Source organism: Homo sapiens, chromosome 4 (assembly GCF_000001405.40).
Source record: "Homo sapiens chromosome 4, GRCh38.p14 Primary Assembly".
NCBI lineage: Eukaryota > Metazoa > Chordata > Mammalia > Primates > Hominidae > Homo > Homo sapiens.
Genome location: NC_000004.12, coordinates 96430198 through 96451074, shown reverse-complemented (window position 1 = coordinate 96451074; position 20877 = coordinate 96430198). Strand labels below are relative to the sequence as shown.

The following is a 20877-nucleotide window of genomic DNA, read 5'->3' as shown; positions in this document are numbered from 1 at the left end:
GGGCTGGTCATCATCTTTGCTGTGTGGGCAACTTAGCCATTTCAGCCTTTGGGCTTTAGAGCCCAACCAGGGGAAGAGAGGATCCCCAAGCACAACACAGCTGCTCTATGAAAATGTGGTCAGACTGCCTTTTGAAGAGGGTCCCCAATCCCATTCCTCCTCACTGGGCAGGATCTACCAACCACAGCCTCCAGCCACCACCATCAGTGTTCTCTAGTCAACAGAGATTTGAAACCTCCCTGGGATGAAGATATAGAGGGAGGAACACACTGACATAATTGCTGTTTGGGCAACTTAGCTGTTCCAGCTTTCAGACATTGGAGAGTCCAAGACAACTGGGGGGTGGAAGTAGTCCCCCAGCACAGCACAGCTGCCCTATGAAAATGTGGCCAGACTGCTGTTTTAAGCAGGTCCCCAATTCTGTTCCTCTTCACTGGGTGGGTTTTTCCAACCAGAGCCTCCAGCCACCACGAGAGCTATCAAGCCAGTAGCAACTCAACATCTCCCTGGACAGAGCCCCCAGAGGTAACTGAAAGCTTCTCTGACCCTTCTCCTACAGCAGAACTGTACTAACAGTTGCTCCTTTGTTAGTGGACTAACAAAGGAGCAAAAACCCTAAGTGATTTATCCACACCCCCAACAAGCTGCAGTTGACCCAAGGAGAGGAGGCCAGTTTGTCTCCCATGGGTTGCACACACCCCCAATTGCTCATCACCAGACAGGAAATTCCTGCCTTGGGCCTGCAGCGCAAACCTTCCATCCTGGGATGACTGCACTGAGCAAATGCTGACCCACATGTCTCTGGGATGGAGTCCCCAGGAGATAAGCAAAAGACCTTGCACCACGACTACAATGAAGGTAGTCTCTTCCTCTGCTGCCTCCAAGTTTGGGAAGGAGCATAAACACTGAAATCACCCCAGAGCTGCAGTGGGCAGCCCAGGAGTTTAAAGCTAGCACTCAACAGGGAGAGGAACCCACACTTTCAAAGCATTGAGAGAGAACATAGCTGCAACTGTGAGGAAACATACAGGAGACACACAACTGAGCAAGAGTCTACCAACTGACCAATAAGCCTAAGTGCCACCTACTGGATCACACCAAAACTTCAACACCAAAAATATCACACCAACATATCTCTCTCTGAAACCAGAGACAGAATGTTAGCTCCAGATAAAGATCCTGCACAAAGCCTCAGCCCAGTTAAAGCATCCAGAAAAGATGTCTATTGACTGCACTCAATATACATTGCTGTTAAAGGAGTACCCACACACAAAGATGGGAAAGACCCAACATAACAACTCCACTAACTCACATGGCCAGAATGTTGTATGCCCTCCAAATGACCAGAGCAGTTCTCCAACAAGAATTCTTAAGTAGGCTAAACTGGCTGGAATGAATGAAATAGAATTCAGAATATGGTTAGAAACAAAGATCATTGAGGCTCAGGAGGATGGCAAAACCCAATCCCAGAAATATAAGAATCACAATAAAGCTATACAGGAATTGAAGGATGAAATATTCAGTATATAAAAGAACTCTATGGGTCTGACAGAGCTGAATAACACAATACAAGAATTTCACAGTGCAATCACAAGTACTAACAACAGAATAAACCTAGCTGAGGAAAGAATCTTAGAACTTGAAGACTGGTTTTCTGAAATAAGACAATCACAGAAAAATAAAGAAAAAATAACAACCATATTTCAGAATATTGTCTATAAAAGCTTCCATAACCTTGCTAGAGAAGTCAACAGCCAATTCAGGAAACACAGAGAACTCCTGCAAGATTCTACACAAGAATGCCATCCCCAAGACACATAATTGTCAGATTGTCCAAGGTTCAAATGAAAGAAGAAAATGTTAAAGGCAGCTAGAGAGAAAGGGCTGGTCAACTACAAGAGGAACACCATCAGGCTAACAGAAGACCTCTCAACAGAAGCCCTACAAGCCAGAAGAGTTTGAGAGCATATATTCAGCACTCTTAAAGAAAAAAAGTTTTCAACCAAGAATTTTATATCCAGCCAAACTAGGCTTCCTAAGCATAGGAGAAATAAGATACTGTTCACCTGGGCAAATCTTGAGGGATTTCATTACCACTTGATGTGCCTTAGAAGAGATCATGAATGGAGCACTAAATATAGAAAGGAAAGACTGCTATCAGCTAATACAAAAACACACGTAAATACACAGACTAGTGTCACTGTAAGACAACCCCACAAAAAAACCAACATAATAACCTATTAACAACATAATGATAGGATCAAACTCACATATATCAATACTAACCTTTAATGCAAATAGGCTAAATGCCCCACTTAAAAGGCACACAGTGGCAAGATGAATAAAAAGCAAGACCCAATGATATGCTGTCTTCAAGAGACCCAACCTCCATTCTTGACTTTTGTGTACCCACAGGCTCAACACCACATGGAAGCTACCACGGCTTGGGGCTTGCAGCCTTTGAAGCCACTGCCCAAGCTGTACCTTGGCCCCTTTTAGTCACAGTTGGAGCAGCTGGGACACAGGGCACCAAGTTCCTAGACTGCACAAAGCTGAGGAACCCTGGGCCCAGACCACAAACCATTTTTTCCTCCCAGACCTCCGGGCCTGTGATGAGAGGATTGCCACAAAGCTCTCTGACATGCCCTGGAGACATTTTCTCCATTGACTTGGTGATAAATTTTCGGCTTTTCATTACTTATGAAAATTTCTACTGCTGACTTGAATTTCTCCTCAGAAAATGGGATTTTCATTTCTATCACTTTGTCAGGTTGCAAATTTTCCAAACTTTTATGCTCTGTTTCCCTTTTAAAACTGAATGCTTTAACAGCACCCAAGTCACCTCTTGAATGTTTTGTTGCTTAGACACTTATTCCACCAGATACCCTAAATCATCTCTGTCAAGTTCAAAGTTCCACAAATCTCTAGGGCAGAGTTAAAATGCCACCAGTCTCTTTGCAAAAACATAACAAGAGTCCCCTCTGCTACAGTTTCCAACAAGTTCCTTATCTCCGTCTGAGACCATCTCAGCCTGGATTTTGTTGTTCATATCATTATCAGCATTTTGGTCAAAGCCATTTAACAAGTCTCTAAGGAGTTCCAAACTTTCCTACATTTTCCTGTCTTCTTCTGAGCCCTCCAAACTGTTCCAAACTCTGCCAGTTACCCAGTTCCAAAGTCACTTCCATATTTTTGAGTATCTTTTCAGCAGCACCGCAGTTCTGGTAACAATTTACTGTATTAGTTAGTTTTCATGTGCTGATAATCAAGACATAGTCTAGACTTGGTAATTTACAAAGAAAAAGAGGTTTAATGGAGTTATAGTTCCACGTGGCCGGGGAGGTCTCACAATCATGGCAGAAGTTAAAAGGCACTCTTACATGGTGGTGACAAGAGAGAGAATGAGAATCAAGTGAAAAGAGTTTCCCCTTATAAAACCATCAGGTCTTGTGAGACTTATTCACTACCATGAGAACAGTATTGGGGAAACTGCCCCCATGATTCAATTATCTCCAACCAGGAGATAATTCCCTCCCACATCATGTAGGAATTATAGGCACTACAATTCAAGATGAGATTTGAATGGGGACACAGACAAACTATATCAATACCCAAAGCAATTTACAGATTCAATGCTATTTCTATCAAACTACCAATGACATTCTTTGCAGAACTAGGAAAAAAAACTATTTTAAAATTCATATGGAATGAAAGAAGAAACTGGATAGTCAAAGCAATCCTAAGCAAAAAGAGCAAAGCTGGAGGCATCATGTTACCCAACTTCAAACTATACTACAGGGCTACAGTAACCAAAGCAGAATGGTATTGGTACAAATACAGGCACATGGACCAATGGAAGCCAATAGAGAGCCACAAAATAAGACCACACACCTACAACCACCTGATCTTCAACAAAGCTGACAAAAACAATCAACTGGGAAAAGTATCCCTATTCAATAAATGTTGCTGGGATAACTGGCCAGCCATATGCAGAAGGCTGAAGCTGTACACCTTCTTTACACCATGTACAAAAATCAACTCAAGATGGATTAAAGACTTAAATTTGAAACCCAAACCTATAAAAACCCTGGAAGACAACCTAGGCAATAACTGTCCTAGACAAAGGAACGAGCAAAGATTTTATGACAAAGACACAAAAAACAATCACAACAGAGACAAAAATTGATAAGTGGGATTTAATTATACTTAAGCACTCCTGCACAGCAAAATAAACTATCATCAGTGTAAACTGAAAACATACAGAATGGGAGAAATTATTTGCAAACTATGTCTCTGACAAAGGTCTAATATCCAACATTTATAAAGAACTTAAACAAATTTATAGGGGAAAAACAACCCCATTAAAAAGTGGGCAAAGGACATGAACAGACACTTTTCAAAAGAAGACATACCTGTGGCCAAACAAGCATACGAAAAAAAGCTCAGTATCATTGATTATTAGTAAATGCAGATCAAAACCACAATGAGGTACCACGTCTTACCAGTCAGAATAGCTATTATTAAAAGTCAAAAAATAACAGATGCTGGCAAGGTTGTAGAAAAAAAGAAACACTTTTACACTGTTGGTGGGAGTATAAATTAGTTCTACCATGTGGAAAGCAGTATGGTGATTCCTCAAAGAGCTTAAAAAACATCTAAAATTTGCCCCAGCAATCCCATTACTGGGTATACACCTGAAAGAATACAAATCATTTTACTATAAAGACACATGCGTGCCAATGTTTGTTGCAGCACTATTCACAATAGCAAAGACATGGAATCAACCTAATTGCTCATCAGTGACAGATTGGATGAAGAAAATGTGGTACATATACAGCATAGAATACTACACAGCCATAAAAAAGTACAAGATTTGCCAGGCACAGTGGCTCACGCCTGTAATCCCAGCACTTTGGGAGGCCTAGGTGGGTGGATTGCCTGAGCTCAGGAGTTCAAGATCAGCCTGGGCAACATGGTGATACCCCATCTGTACTAAAATACAAAAAATTAGCCAGGGGTGGTGGCATGCACCTGTAATCCCAGCTACTGGGGAGGCTGAGGCAGGAGAATTGCTGGAACTTGGGAGGCAGAGGTTGCAGTGAGCCGAAGTCATGCCACTACACTTCAGCCTGGGTGACAGAGCAAGACTCTGTCTCCAAAAAAAACAAAGTACAAGATCATGTCTTTTATGGGAACAGGGATGGAGCTGGAGGCTATTATCCTCAGCAAACTAATTCAAGGACAGAAAACCAAATACCTCATGTTCTCACTTATAAATGGAAGCTAGATGGTGGAGGTTGGACGGTGGAAGGAGGGAGAGGAGCAGAAAAGATAACTATTGGGTACTGGGTTTATTACCTGGATGATGAAATAATCCATACAGCAAAACTTCCTGGTATGAGTTTACCTATGAAATGAACCTTCACATGTACCCCCAAACCTATAATAAAAGTTTAAAAAAATAAAGTGATAGAAAAGACCCAAATAAATGCAATCAGATTTGATAAAAGGAGTGTATTAGTCAATTTTCATGCTGCTATAAGAAAACTGCTCAAGACTAGGTAATTTATAAAGGAAAGAGGTTTAATTGACTCATAGTTCTGAATGGCTGGGGAGGCCTCAGGAAACTTACAATCATGGCAGAAGGCAAAGGAGAAGCAGGCACCTTCTTTACAAGAGGGCAGGATGAAGTGAGTGCAAGCAGGGGAATTGTCAGATGCTTATAAAATCATCAGAACTTGTTAGAACTCACTATTGCGAGAACAGCATGGGGAAAACTGCCCCATGATCCAATTACCTCCACCTGGCCCCACCCTTGACACATGGGGATTATGGAGATTACAATCTGAAGTGAGATTTGGGTGAGGACACAGAGCCAAACTATATTAGGGTACATTCCCACTGACTCCACAGAAATAAAAATAATAATAATAATAATCCTCAGAGACTATTGTGAACACCTCTATTGCACACAAGCTAGAAAACCCAGAAGAAATCAATAAATTCCTGGAAACACACAAACTCTCAAGATTGAACTAGGAAGAGATTGAATCCCTGAAGAGACCAATAATGAGTTCAGAAATTGAATCAGTAATAAAAAGCCTACTAACAGAAAAAGCCCAGGACCAGATGAATTCACAGCCAAATTCTAACAGATGCATAAGGAAGAGCTGGTATCAATAATACTGAAACTATTCCAAAAATTGAAGAGGAGGGACTCCTCCCTATCGCATTCTATGAGGCTGGCATCATCCTGATACCAAAACCTGGCAGAAACACAACAAAAAAAGGCAAAACTTCAGGCCAACATTCTTGGTGAACAGAGATGCAAAGATCTCAAGAAACTATGAGCTGAATCCAACAGCACATCAAAAAACTAATCCACCACCATCTAGCAGGCTTTATCACTGGAAAGAATAGGATTTAAATTTTACAAAAAATTCACTAATTTTCCCAGAGCCACACAAATAGCTAGGATTTGAAGCTAGGATTTTGAATTTTAAAGTCATGGATTTTTTCACTAACCACTAGTAAATGAATTAGATTTATTAACTTCTGAAGCATCCTAAATGGTGACTGAACAGTCATATGTCTTCTTCAGGAGGTTCTGAGTCAAAACAATGCTTTTCTATTTGAAAATGTAAAGTTGGTACTCTACACTCTGCTGCTTATACATGCATATATTTTTTAAAACTATTATAATAAAAACTTCTAGGTTTTCTTAATTATTCTTTAGTTATAGCATTGTGCTCATATTTAAATGCACATCAAACACTGCTTTGCCTTTTCTTGATTTCTTAAATTTCAGAAAAGAACATAAAATGGTATTTAGTCACTCACAGAGGCAATGCCCCATTCATTAACCTATTGGGTGCAGCTAACAATGCTAATAGGATTGACTGTAAAATAGCTTAACTTGATATTTCTCTCTTCACATAGAAAATGTGAGCTTAGTAATAACCTTGTATGCCTCATTTAGCAGACTGGCCAGAGAATAGGAAGAGATTTATTTAAAAAATTGTACACGGTAACAGTGGAGGTGCCTAAACTAAAGATCTTCTGTTCAGCTCTTGTATTTTATATGCTATACTAGCCCCGCTTCTGCCATTCCAAATTATTTCAAGACTTCACATGTATTAAGAGAGACAAGTTCTTTCCTACAGTTTTTTTTTCTTAAAGCATAACCTCATGCTATCAATTTCTTTTGATATGCTCTTTTCTTTGAGCTTGTCATGAGTCCACCTAGCATATTTTTCTTCAATTTGGTGCACTTCGAAAATGGTAAAAAATTAGTACATTCTGAGTGGTGATCTTCCAAATTTAGACACATTCTAAAGAGTCCAAGATGGGTAAAGAAAAAAAGCACAGAGAGAACACCTAAATGTCTTCTTTCCTTAGTAAAAATAGACTGTTACTTTCTACCACAAAAATAAAGTTATAGATTCCACAGTGGCATAGATAAATATGGCAGAACTTTGTACTTTCTTCAAAAAGCATAATTTATACTAAAATAGGCACATAAGAAGTGGCCCACAGTAAAGTGAAAACTGTGGGTCTTGACAGCCATGTGGCAAGTCTTCCAAGGGAAGCAATGCACTGCTTAACTTAGCAGAATTCCATGTGATGTCATTTTTCTTCAACAAAAAAGGTCCTCTAAAGTTGATATATTCATCTGGTAATATATCCATCTAGATTTAAAGCAGAATAAAATTACTATGCTTCTGAAACAAAACATAAGTTTGGTGGACTTCCATTCCATTTTGAGTAGCTAGAGATAAAAGACTTATATGAGCTATGCATGTCAGCTAAAAGAACTGTTGTTAAGAAGAAGGCAAGTTTCGGAGTTTGGGATTTAGAATTAGAAACATTTGAGTTCAAGTGTTTACTTGAACTTTTTTGAAATTTTTTTTTATTCAGCTCTGGAACAAAATGATTTAATAATGTAATAACACTTACATCGTGGCATTCTAGTAATAGTACAATGAGGTAATGCACGTAAAGACACACAGACCATGCTAACCATTCGATAATCTACCTGTATTTAAAGTACAATGTACCTTGTCATAATTAATTACTAAATTATCATGAAATTCTTATAAGATACAATTACTTTTTCAGATAAAACAATTAAAAAACTAAGTGAGGAAGCTTGCCTTAGTAACAGCTTAAGCTTATGACAATTAAGAAATTAGGTTCTTTTTATTAAGCTGTCAAATAACACTGGAAGTTTTTATTTCCTACAGTTGATTTAACAATGATTCTAAACACTCTTCATCCAATGAATTGATATTTCTTGATTATAAGGATGGACATTTTATTCACCTTTGAGGATATATAGCTTCTTAAAAAAAGTAAAAGTCGATACCTGTCTTCAGGCTTTGTATATTAGAGTGGAGATTAGACAACAGACACATGGAAAAAATCTGTGTGGTACAGTGGTAATGTACAGGACAAGTGAGATTAACTGTACAGCTGTGGAAGAGGGAAAATCATGCAGCAGAAATTGCCATTTGGGGTCTGGACTAGTCGCAGACCCATAATGTTTAGACTTATGATGAACTGCTAAAAGAGAGATGATGCAATTCATTCAGATAGATAACAAAGCAAGGCTGATTTTGGGGAAGACAATACATCGATTTTTTTTTTCTGTGCTTTTTGAGGCTCTAGCTCATTCTTGAAAAGACTTTCTTCAGTCAATAGGCATTTGGCTTTGCTTTACAGAGAATGAGGATTTGATATAATGATTTGAGCCTCTATCAAAAACGTGAGAGTTGAACCATTAAAATGTAAAAACAATGTAGAAAAAGGAAAGGTAGAGCCCTAAGATACAGCACAATGCCATACATACAGCAAATGATCAATACACATTTGTTAATAAAATAAGTGAGAGACAGGACTACCTAATGTTACTAGTATGCTCTAACAACTACTAATCTTGCTAACCCTACTGCTATTGCTACTGTTTTTACTATTACCATGTTCCTATTACCTGTTTTTCCTTGTCACTTAAAATGGAGAATCATTTTCCCTCCCTGAGCCTATATCTTTGTGGAAGAAAAAAACCAAATTCAGGGCAGACCTAAGTGGCTTAAGATAACTTTCCAGACATGCCTTTGGGCTATTTTTCCCTCCCAAAGACTAAGTAAGACCAAGACTAGGGGGAAAAAAATGGGACCAAATGATCTTTAGTCACTGGAGACTAACAATATTCGCAAAAAGTATTTGACATTTGATATACAACAAAAATGATGGTAATAGCATCTAGAATAACTTGAATAGGAATGGGAGCACATGGGGGAGCCTCTATTCACCATCGAGGGGAATTGAACTAAACTAATAAGGCAAAGACAACATGACTTAGTATGTCAGGCCATGGACTGTGGGGCTGCCTTTCTGTGTTTGAATGCTGCTGTTTGAACTGTATGGGTTTGAATGCTGGTGTTGCTAATTATAAGATCTCTAACCTTGGGCAAGTCATCTGACTTTTCTGTGTGTGCCTCACTTTCCTCATGTTTAATATGTAAATAATGACTCATGAAAATATATAAAAAATTAAATGAGTTAATATACTTGGAAGTGAGTTAGCTGATGTTCTTTACACACTGCCTCATTTATCCTCAGAAGAACCCTATGAGATTCCCGTTTTGCCCATCAAGACATAGGCTTAGAGATGTAGTGTAACTTGTTCAAACTTATTTATTTAATAACCAAGAGCCAAGGCCAGCATTTGAAACTAGGGGCATATTTAAAGAGCAAATACAGAAAAAACAATACCAACAAATGCTGACTGTTGATCTCCCAAAAGACCACCAGAAAACCTTGTGGATAAAATAAAACTGAGTTTATTAGATTTGTGCAGAAAGGTAAAACTCCACTTTGCAGAGACTTACTTTAGATGTACTATATTTATAGGGTTTTAGAGCCTAGGCTATATGATTTTTAAGGTGTATCTTGACAAACAGGGAATTGATTGGACAGAGTTTATGACCTAACACCTTTGGGTTGGTGATTGCAATGAGGGAGTGTCATGAAATTATCAATGAGCAAGCTGTTAGCCATGATATGTGAGCCATTAGCTAGTCCATAATCTTATCTTCTAGGAGCAGGTATTTCTTGGAGCAAACAGTTGGGATATTTTTGCTTGATTTTAGTACATTCCTTCACACATAGAAAAGGAATTATGTTGACTTCAGTTCGCTGAAAGAAGAAGCAAAAATAACAGGAGGAGACCAGCTAAAAGAGTGCCACTAAAGGTCATCTGAAGAGACCTATGCTGATTTATAAATGTCCAGCAACAAGATGGACAAGATTGGACATAAAAATAAAGGTCTTGTAGCACCATTTCTTTTTATTAGTATAAGACTTTATCTAGAGGCACAGGATATAAAAATGATTTGATTTTTGCTTTAATGTAAGAGTCCAACTCAAATTGAAACATGTAAAAACGAATGACTTACAAAAACCTTCAATAGCAGTATTCTGAAAGCCAATTTAATACTAACTTCTAAACTACTAGTACAGTACATAAAAGTCCATGTTTTTACCAGTCTTTCTTAATCTTATTATTTGATTCATCATTGCTGCCACTTCTTACTCTATTTCACATACAATGAACTTATTGTCAGGAGTAACATTGTTAAATATATTTAACTTTATATTTGAAATGCTTAGAAAACACCAATTAAAAGTATTTCCTTTTTGAGAAACTTAGACAAATGAACCCATTTGGAGACTGAATTAAAAATGTGCACTAATTACTCATGTCACTGAAGCACAACAACTTATCTCCATGAATGCACAAATGGATGAGGCCTGCACTGATATGGGCAACAGATGGGGGTGAAGGGAGTGAGATAGAAGAGGGGGTATATGCTGGATTCAACTGTGTTACTAAAAGTTATACAGAGAAATTTGAAATTGATAGAAGAGCTTTGATATGCATAAAACAACCAATGGTTTTTATTTATTTAGTAAGTTAGTGTTTGTGCATGTGTATGTATTTATGTATGCATTATGTTCAAAATATTGTATGTTAAATACTCAGCTGAGAGGGAAGCAGAGATAAAGATCTCTAACAATCTCTCTCCTCTAGGAGCTTACCATCTAGTGGGATCTTTTAAGTATGTGCACAAATAACATTTAGAGAAAGTAGTGTTTGAAAAGCCCTGAATGAATTGCTCAGATAACTGTTTATTAGGAGTCCAAAGATCTAATAATAGGTAATTTCGAAGTTTAGGAAATACTGGGTAGAATTTCTATTGATGATACTTTTTAATGCTGTACCCCAGTACTTAGAATTTAATGCTGTCTATCCAGCAATCTACAAATAACAAATGTTATTAAATGTACTGCTATTAAGTCCAGCGAATATAATCATGGAATAATCAGTTCATGAACCTTATCATCAGATGAAAAAAAATCAGAAATTAATCAATAAGCCACACTAAATAAATAAGAAATTGTTACTGTAGAAATTTCAATGAAGAAGAGAGACACACAGTGCCAGAAGGTATTGGTCGTTAACTTCATTTGGGAAATCAAGGAAGGATATCAGAAAGCAAGTGTTGATGAAGCTAGAATATGAAAGAATAATAGAAATTAAGTCGGCTGGGGGAGTTAAAAGATGGGGAAGGTTGGAGATGAAAAGATGATTCCAGGAAGAATAAGGGAGTATGATGTGTTTCACAGGCATAGGAAATCCAGAAACCCAGAGTGGTCTAATCACAGTGAGCACCATCCCCAGCACCCCACTCCCCCGCACACACAAAAATGTTAAGACAACGAAGGAGAAAATGGTTGTGACAGGAACCCTTGGGTTTAATTTTTAGCTTGCGTAAGTATTTCAAGCAGGGAATTATGTGATTGGATTTACATTTCACAAGATCACCCCAGCTGTAGTTTAGATAATTGATTGGAGAGTGTCATGAAGGAAGGGTACCTGTTAGAAAACTAGAGTATTTGCCCAGACTAGAGTAATTTGGACTGTAAGTGCTGGCAGTCGGAAGGAAGGAAAGTCAACTTCTTTAAGACATGTTTAGGAGGAACTGGTGAGAGATTTGTTAAGCCGGGGCAAGTGGAAAAAAAAAACATACATGATGACTCTTACATTTCTGATTTGGATAGCAAGACAAAAGTTCAAACACTCACTGCAGCAGGGGACCAGGTTTGAAGAAAGCTCATGAATTTGGTTTGAAAATACTGATTTTCAGGTATATTTGAGACATTAACTGAATGCTTAATGTAGACACAAATGCCTTTCTTGTCAAATTTGAAGATGGCATAAAAGCTTTAAAAGAGCATGGAATAAAAACCTTTTTAAAATTAGAAATAAGTACTGACATCAAGTACAGCGAGGTTAGTTTTAATAGACAGAGATATTCAAACTTATTTGTCTGAAAAGCAAGTTAATAAACACAAATTAGTGAAGATATCAAGTATAAATATTGTAAAATTTAAATGGGAAATACACAAATAATTACTTCAATGATGTAAAACCTGATAACTAGTTGTTTAAACTGGTTTAGTTTCAGTTTTTAAGCTCTACTTGTGTTATTTTTATGTGCCCACATTTTACTCCTAATTAAATTATATCCCCATGACATATCTCTATTTTGAATATAAAAGTTTGTTAAGTACACAAGATTTTGAAAAATATTAAAAAGCTAGGTATGTAGTAGCTTGTATATTTATTTTTCATTAGTCTCTAAACAGCATACAGACATGCCTTTTAAAAATTATTTGGAAGAGTGACAAGTCGCCTTTATACTTGCATAGTGTATTTCATACTTGCCTTCTCAGCAGTATTCAGCTAACAAAGCTTTGTGATTCTGTTTGAAAGCTGGCTCCAGAATACCGATAGCATTTATTCTTATTCCTAGAATAAAATGTGGTACACAAATGGCCTTATTAGAAAATACTAGTCCACCCTGCTTTCTATATATTTATAGATGAGGTGTTCTTTTCAACTAATATTATGAGTAGATATAATACTTTTTCCTTTTCTAATTCATAACTTATGCACATAGGCTGATGAAATATACCCTTTACTTAAAAGCTACTGCAGTTCAGGTGAATGCACAGTTAGTCCCACATGCAGATAGAGTAGATATTTAACCTACCTGATATTAGAATAAAGATTTGGGGACAGCATATATATTCTAGAATGTATGCCTTAAACAATCCTACCTTATCACCACATGTGTTTAAAATTCTAAAGTAAGGTATTTAATTATTTGAGCAAAAACTTTAACAGTAGTAGCCTCCTGTTAAAGACTGGAATATTCTTCATAATTTATTTAGAGTCATTGAGCTATCGTTAGTGATAAACAATATAATCTAAAGCACAACCCTAGAATTTAGGGGTTCTGCCCTAGGCAGAACAACAATATGAGAGTTCAGAAAAGCCCTGGAGCACAGGAGAGAACTGGAAGAGGACTGATATGGCTTGGCTCTGTGTGCCCATACAAATCTCACTACGAATTATAATCTCCACTGGTTGTGGGAGTGTCCTGGTGGGAGGTGATTGAGTCTTGGGGGTGGACTTGCCCCTTGCTGTTCTCCAGATAGAGTTCTCACGAGATCTGGTTGTTTGATAAATGGTGCTCCCCCGCCACCTCCAACCCCCTACCCTGTTTCTCTCCTGCCACCTTGGAAAGACATGCCTTGCTTCCTCTTTGCCTTCTACCATGATTGTAAGTTTCTTGAGGCCTCCCCAGTCATGCAGAACTGTGATTCAATTAAACCTCTTTTCTTCATAAATTACCCAGTCTCAAGTAGGTCTTTATAGCTGTGTGAAAATGGACTAATACAAGGACTATCTTCAGCAAGGGAAAAGACTGCTAAGAAATTTAAAAGGGCTTTAAAGGGCAAACTGCTGACACAAATTTTCCAAAGAAGTATTGCATTGAAGCATAAATCCAGTGTAATCTTCTAACAAACATCTTGGGAGCTGTATATTGCATCAGACTTTATGCTTTACATTCTCTTAAAAAAAACGCAACAAGACAGTATGAGTTTTTTTTTCAGTTGTAAAAATGTATAAGCCCATTTGATCCAAAAAAGACTTGAAGTGTGCAGTCATATATCAGCTGTACATTTGTATATTTTCTAAATATGAGAGGACCATGTAATCTTTTTATTCAGCCCTCTCACATATATATATATATATATGTGGATATATATATCCACCTTCCCCTCATATATATATATGAGATATATATATGGACATATATATCATATATATGATATATTGGATATATATGATATATATCATATTCATATATATGACACGTATCATATATATGGAACATATATATCTATATATATATGGAGAGAGAGTGAGAGAGGGAGAGAGTATGTATTTGTGATATTTAATTAGTTTTCTTGGAGATAAATCTTCTATTTAAAAAATTGTCTTATTGTTCGTGATAAACAAATTCAAGGTGTCTGAGCCTTTTTTATGATTTCGATGCCTGTATTTATATTAGTGTGTTAATCATAAGTGATTATCTAAGTGCCAGTGTTTAATTTTTAAAGTTGGGGAGACGATTTCTGTTTGGCCTTAGGTTAATATAGACAAGTTTCAAAATGACAGAAATTCTCCTGCACCCACTGTTGAACTCAAATTATGTTGTCAGTTATGAATGCCAAAATTATATGTACAATTGCAAGCAATTTTCATAAAAAAGATTATGATTTCTGAAATTAGTTAATAAACTGAGGCTTTTATTTTACCTCACAATAATGATAGGCAGTGCTTTGTTTCCAGTACTATCAAGACAAGGATTGAGGTACAATTAACATGCAAATGTACACCAAGCGAAGATGAAATGTGGTCAAGACATTCCGTATAAATAACAGTTTTTCAGTAGTTAAACTGGATAATAGCAGTGGGTTGTTTGAATTATAACCCAACACACAATAGTGTGTCCGAGGCATTAGAGCAGTATTGGTTAAGAAAATACAATATTGAGCTTGGCTTCTGTACTTGAGTTTGGATAAGTGACTTCACCTTTTCCTGTGTAAGCTTCCTCAATGACAAATTGAGGAAATATATACGTTCTGCATAGAATTGTTATGAATACTAAATGAGTTAAAATGTGGTTAAACAGTGTCTGGAACATCATAAGCACTGAATAATGGCTAGACGTTATTAATACTAGTAGTAAAACCAGCACATGCAAATACTGTGCACCAAAAGAGTTCCCACAAGATACCCATGTTGTGGGTATTAATTTCAGCAAAGTGATACCATCTGCAACATTAAGTTAATTTGCTGATATGAATGTAATTGGTTTAATAATTTCATTTATTAATATTTACAAGTATTATTATTAAATTTATTAGAATAGTGAGTAATTTATGGTAGTGACTTACTTCAAGTCCCAGGTGAGAAACTAATTAACTGTAGTTTACATCAAATTCACTTAACCATTGTACTCTATTTACTCTTTCACAAATTGAAATTTGAGCCAAATAATCTTTGAGGTAGCAGATCGCAAAATGTGGTTCTTTGACCACCTGCATCAGCATAATCGAAATTACTTTGTAAAAATAGTGAGTTTATTTTTTTAATTAATTAATTTTTTAAATAAACAACAGAAGTATATTGCGCACTGATCTGGAAGATGGGAAGTCCAAGATCAAGGGGCCAGCAGATTCAGTGTCTGGTGAGGAGACACTGTCTGCTTCAAATATGGTGGCTTCTTGCTTCATCTTCAAATGGCAGAAGCAGCAAACAGGTTCTCTCGAGCCTCTTACATATAGCAAGTTTCTTTTTAAACATTATGAATTAGAATTATAGGAGATAGCATACTGTGAACTTTATTTTTAACTAGTTTAATTTCAGGCTGACTGATGTTTAAAAATTACTTCCTTGAAATCAATTGCAGCTCCAAATTTATGTTTCTTCTTCAGTAGTTTGCTGTCTAACTCCAGGTTAAAGCTTACGATGATGAGCACTTTATTACCTCAGGAGAACACCAGGGAAATTTGCAGGCATCTTTAATTTTTTCATTTACTGAGCCAAAAATTGTGTTTCTATAATTTATATCCACTTAAGGCACTCATAAGTGAAATTGTTTTTTTCTTTTAAAAATTTTTGTTTTATTTTTTTAAATAGAGATGGGGTTTCATTATGTTGCCCAGGCTGGTCTCAAATTCCTGGGCTCAAATGATCCACCTGCCTTGCCCTCCCAAAGTGCTGGGATTATAGGCATGAGCCACCACACCCAGCCAGAAGTGGAAATTACAATAATGATGGCAAATAGAGCACTAACTGACATAAAGACAGTGTGACATTTTGTGTTCAAAACATTTATTCTAGATATTAATTAGAAAGCAACATTTTGGAATATATGCATTATATATGTAAAATAAAGCCATTGAATTAGAAGAACAAAAGCATGAATCCTTTCTAAAAGTTAAGTGGAATTTAGAGTCATATAGTGTGAGAGGATAGTAACTTGTTTTTACTCTTAATAAAATAAGAGCAGCTAACATTAATGAATGCTTTCTCTTTGAATTCCATTTAGTATAGGTCATAAATTGTTTTTATAAACATAAAAGATTATAAATAAGTAGTCTTTTAACCTATAATAAATCTTATACTGTTTAGGAGATTTATTCAAAATAAATGTGTGATGTTTACTACTTAATGTCAGCAAGAAATTTCTTTTACCTTAAAAGACTTCTGAATTACTCTTGAAAACACCATTTTATCCTCTAGAATATGAAACTAAGAAAGTGTATAGAGAAAATTAATTCGTATGATATCAGTAACATGTTTTGAGTATCTCAGAGGAAATTTTTAATTTACAAAATAGCATTTTATGTAATTAATGTCACTATTGGTGGTTTATTTTTTAACATTTAAGTGTCTCTTTATGTTCAAATTATAAAATTAGATGAATTTAAAACACATTGAATGTATTTATTTTAGGGAAAAGTGAATTCTCAGGACAATAACTTTATATATCTACATATTATTTTATGTATAAATCTATATTATTATCTATATATCTACATATTATCTACATAAAATTGATATTTATATCAATTTTCTATTTCATTCATCTTCATTTTAATAAGTATTTTTCATGTTTACTAGAAGTTATTAATTACATTTCCATTGTTAGCCTCATATTTTAATGGGATAAATTTCAATATTGTCCCTAAAATATACATTTATATTGTTCATTATATTTGTAAAATTTTATGTTAATTAAATCAGTAAAAAAAGTACTTATTATTGGTACTCAATTTAATGAGCTATTTATTCACGCAAAAATAAAAATTGCGTGCTCTTTCAGAAGAAACGATTTCATAGTATCAGTTCTCCCCCCATCCACTTGTGTAATATCTCTCATCCTAAGGGAGAATAACTTGAAAGAATGACTTCCATTATCTGAAATGTCAACCACTTGGAAAGTCGTGTGTTTCCCACCTTCTACAGTTATGACTCTTGACCCACTGGAGCTGTTAGAGGCCTCTAGACTATTTTGTAAATTCAGGTTTGAATGTTTATAAATGAGATAGGAAGTAAAAATATTCTGTGACAGCATAATCTTTGGACCTATAGTAAGATGGACTATTAATCTTAAAATAGGTTTTCCTCATTCCTGTTTGTGCTTTCCTGAAAAAATTATCTGAACGATACTATCATGTACTGTATTAGACAATAAGATTTGTTTCTTACCCTTGTAAATGGACAAAAAAAAGAACCCCAGGGATTATAAATCAAACTTTTTAAGTCAGAAATTCAATACCTTTATTGTTTTTTACTTTTTAAAAAACACAGCATATAATTTGGATCATATTTCAAGTTATGGCATAATAACAGGTCTTACTATTTGCTCTGATGAAGCGTTTATAACCTGGTAATAGAATCACTGAAAGAGATGATTGCAAAAACTACCAAAGTTACAAAATATTTACATTTCTTGAGGAATTTAGGCTTTTGAGAGTTTAGTATGGTCATTAAACTTGGAAAGCCAAGACCAAACCAAGTTTTAGAGCTCCTCTCATGACACTTTCTCAAATACATTAAATATTACTTTGCTTAATACTTTTTTCTCAATCATAATATACTAACCCTTTTGGATGAATGAATGTTGCCATCTTTGCCTTCTAAAAATTATATGTTTATTTGAGACCCAAATAAGCAATATGGCATTGAAAAACTTGGCCCATGTTATTCTCAGCAGGGTCTGAGGCAACATCTCGTAATCAAACATATTGGCATTTCTTTGGAAAATTATATCACTAATAAGACAATATGATATATCTATGAAGATTGTAGGAAATAGATCTATCCATTTGGATAGAACCATTTAAAAAATAACAACAACTCTAATTATCTGATATACATTTGAACTGATGAAAATATTATTCTGGTGTCCAGTCACAGTATGTAATAACAAGGTAGGGAGTGTGGGGCGGGGATGATGCCTCAGTGGAAAAAAATTATATTGTCTTATTTTATATACAGTCAATATGATATAAATTATCATATATATCATATATGTCATATATCATATTGTCTTATTAGTCATACTGTGTGTGTGTGTGTGTGTGTGTGTGTGTGTGTGTGTGTGTATATATATATGTATATATAATCTAATAATACACCCCTTCCTCTATTGGTTCAATGTAAATTCTACCACCAAATGAATTTGCCACAATCTTACCAAATTGATACTTTGGGTTTTTAGAAATTTTGTGGTTTCTAATACTGAGAATAATGGATCATGGTGGTGGTATTCCAATATGGTGGTGGTATTCCAACATTTTAGGAATCATGATCTTCCCTGCATAATAAATTTGCCTCCAGGGAGGAACTTTGACACTGTGGAGAGTCTAGATACTTCTTGGATTTCTATAAATAGTTGTACTTATTGGGCTGCACTTAAGCAGAAGGACATTCTCATTACACAATGTCCCCCATATATCATAGTCCTAGGATTCTGGTTCTTTCTGTCAAAGTAAAACATTATTTTGGGTAGGGTACAGTGTCTCAACGCCTGTAATCACAGTACTTTGGAGGTGGAGGCAGGCAGATCACTGGAGGTCGGGAGTTCGAGAATAGCCTGACAAACATGGAGAAACCCTGTCTTTACTCAAAATACAAATAAGCCAGTCATGGTGATGCATGCCTGTAATTCCAGCTACTCGGGAGGCTGAGGCAGGAGAATCACTTGAACCCAGGAGGCGGAGGTTGCTGTGACCTGAGATTACGCCATTGCACTCCATCCTGGGAAACAAGAGCAAAACTCCGTTTCAAAAAAAAAATGTTATTTTTAACACAAGCAACATTTGATATGCTCCTGCATCTCTAGTGACTCTAGCACAGAGAAGCAAAGCTTATTATTACAGTGCAGAATGAAGAGAAACTTGGAAAGTTCAAGTAAGTTAGACATGTTTCTATTGATTACAACACTACTGAGAGGAGGATGGGGTAGATAAAAACCAGAAAGTTGGAATTAGTTAAAAATTCTCTCTCTAATGATTGAGCCCTTTGGAAAAAGCAGTGGATATGTTACAAGTTGCATTTTAATAACATTCAAGCACAAAACTGTGAATGTACTATATATATGTTCAGAAAGAAAAACAATTGTAATGTTATTTGAATACTTCTTTTGACATAATTAGTAGATTTTCTAAGGAAAATTGCAAGAAATACCTTGCAGTTACCATGGGAGCAGAGTCAATATGTTTTGAATGCAATGACCTGAACTATTGAAAAAGAAAGAACATATGTACCCCTGGTGCACTTCGGGAACAGCGCTGTGCATGCAGCTTTCTGTGATTATGCACATATGGTAGCCACTAGCCACATGTTGGTGTAGAGCTTTTGAAATGTGGCTCCTGTGACTAGGGAACAGAGTTTTTCATTTAATTTTATTTCAGTTTAAGGGTAAATATATGTGGGCAGTAGCTACCCTATTGAACAGTGTAGCTATGGAATTTAACATGTACTAAATCTGTGAGCTTTTTTCCCTGCCATTTTAAGGTTGTAAAGATTGTAGGAAATAGATCTATCTATCCCTATCTATTTGGATAGACCTATTTAAAAAATAGCAACAACTCTAATTATCTGATATACATTTGAACTGGTGAAAGTATTATTCTGGTGTCCAATCACAGTATGTAATAACAAGGTAGGGGAGGGGGTGGGGATGATGCCTTAGTGTAAATATTAAATCTTAGTTACATAAGTCTAAAGTAAGTCAGTGCTCCTCAAACTTGAAAGTATGTAAGAACCAGATGAAGAACTTGTTAAAGCCCAAAGATTCTTATTTGGTAAGACCAGGATGGGACTCAACACTTTCATTTCTAACAAGCTCCAAGTGTTTCTGCTTGTGGTGATCCATAGACCAAATTTTTAATAGTACTTACTGGTTACTTAGTGTAGTTATCCTCAGTGTAGATTCTAGACTAGAATCTGTACCAGAAGAATTACTTTGGAACTTGTCAGAAATGCAAATTATTACTATTATGACTTACCCCAGATTTATTAAATCAGAAACTCTAGGGCTAAGCATAATGTTTTCACAAGACTTCCAGATGAATACGATGCATGCTAAAGTTTGAGAATCACACTGACTTGGTGGATTGGGATGTCCTAAGAAGCAAGAAAATGTGACTAATTACTTATTAATATAGTCAGAGCAGATAAAGTTACATTTCTTATATTGATTCTAATAAAAATCCATTGCTTTGCATTGATTTATTAAACTATAACATAGTAGCAAAATGTAGAATTTTAATAGAAAAATTATGTTGTGATGAGATTTTGAGATTTCTGTCAATTACATAAAATGATTATAATATGAAATCTGCACTATAAACTATGAAGTAAATAATTTTAATATGCAGTGC

At 35.8% G+C, this 20877-nt stretch overlaps 1 long non-coding RNA gene across 1 annotated transcript in view; it reads right to left on the bottom strand.

Annotated features, from left to right (window-relative positions):
• Positions 1 to 20877, bottom strand: part of LINC02267 (long intergenic non-protein coding RNA 2267) — a 507713-nt gene that overhangs the window by 367341 nt on the left and 119495 nt on the right. The window lies entirely within an intron of this gene.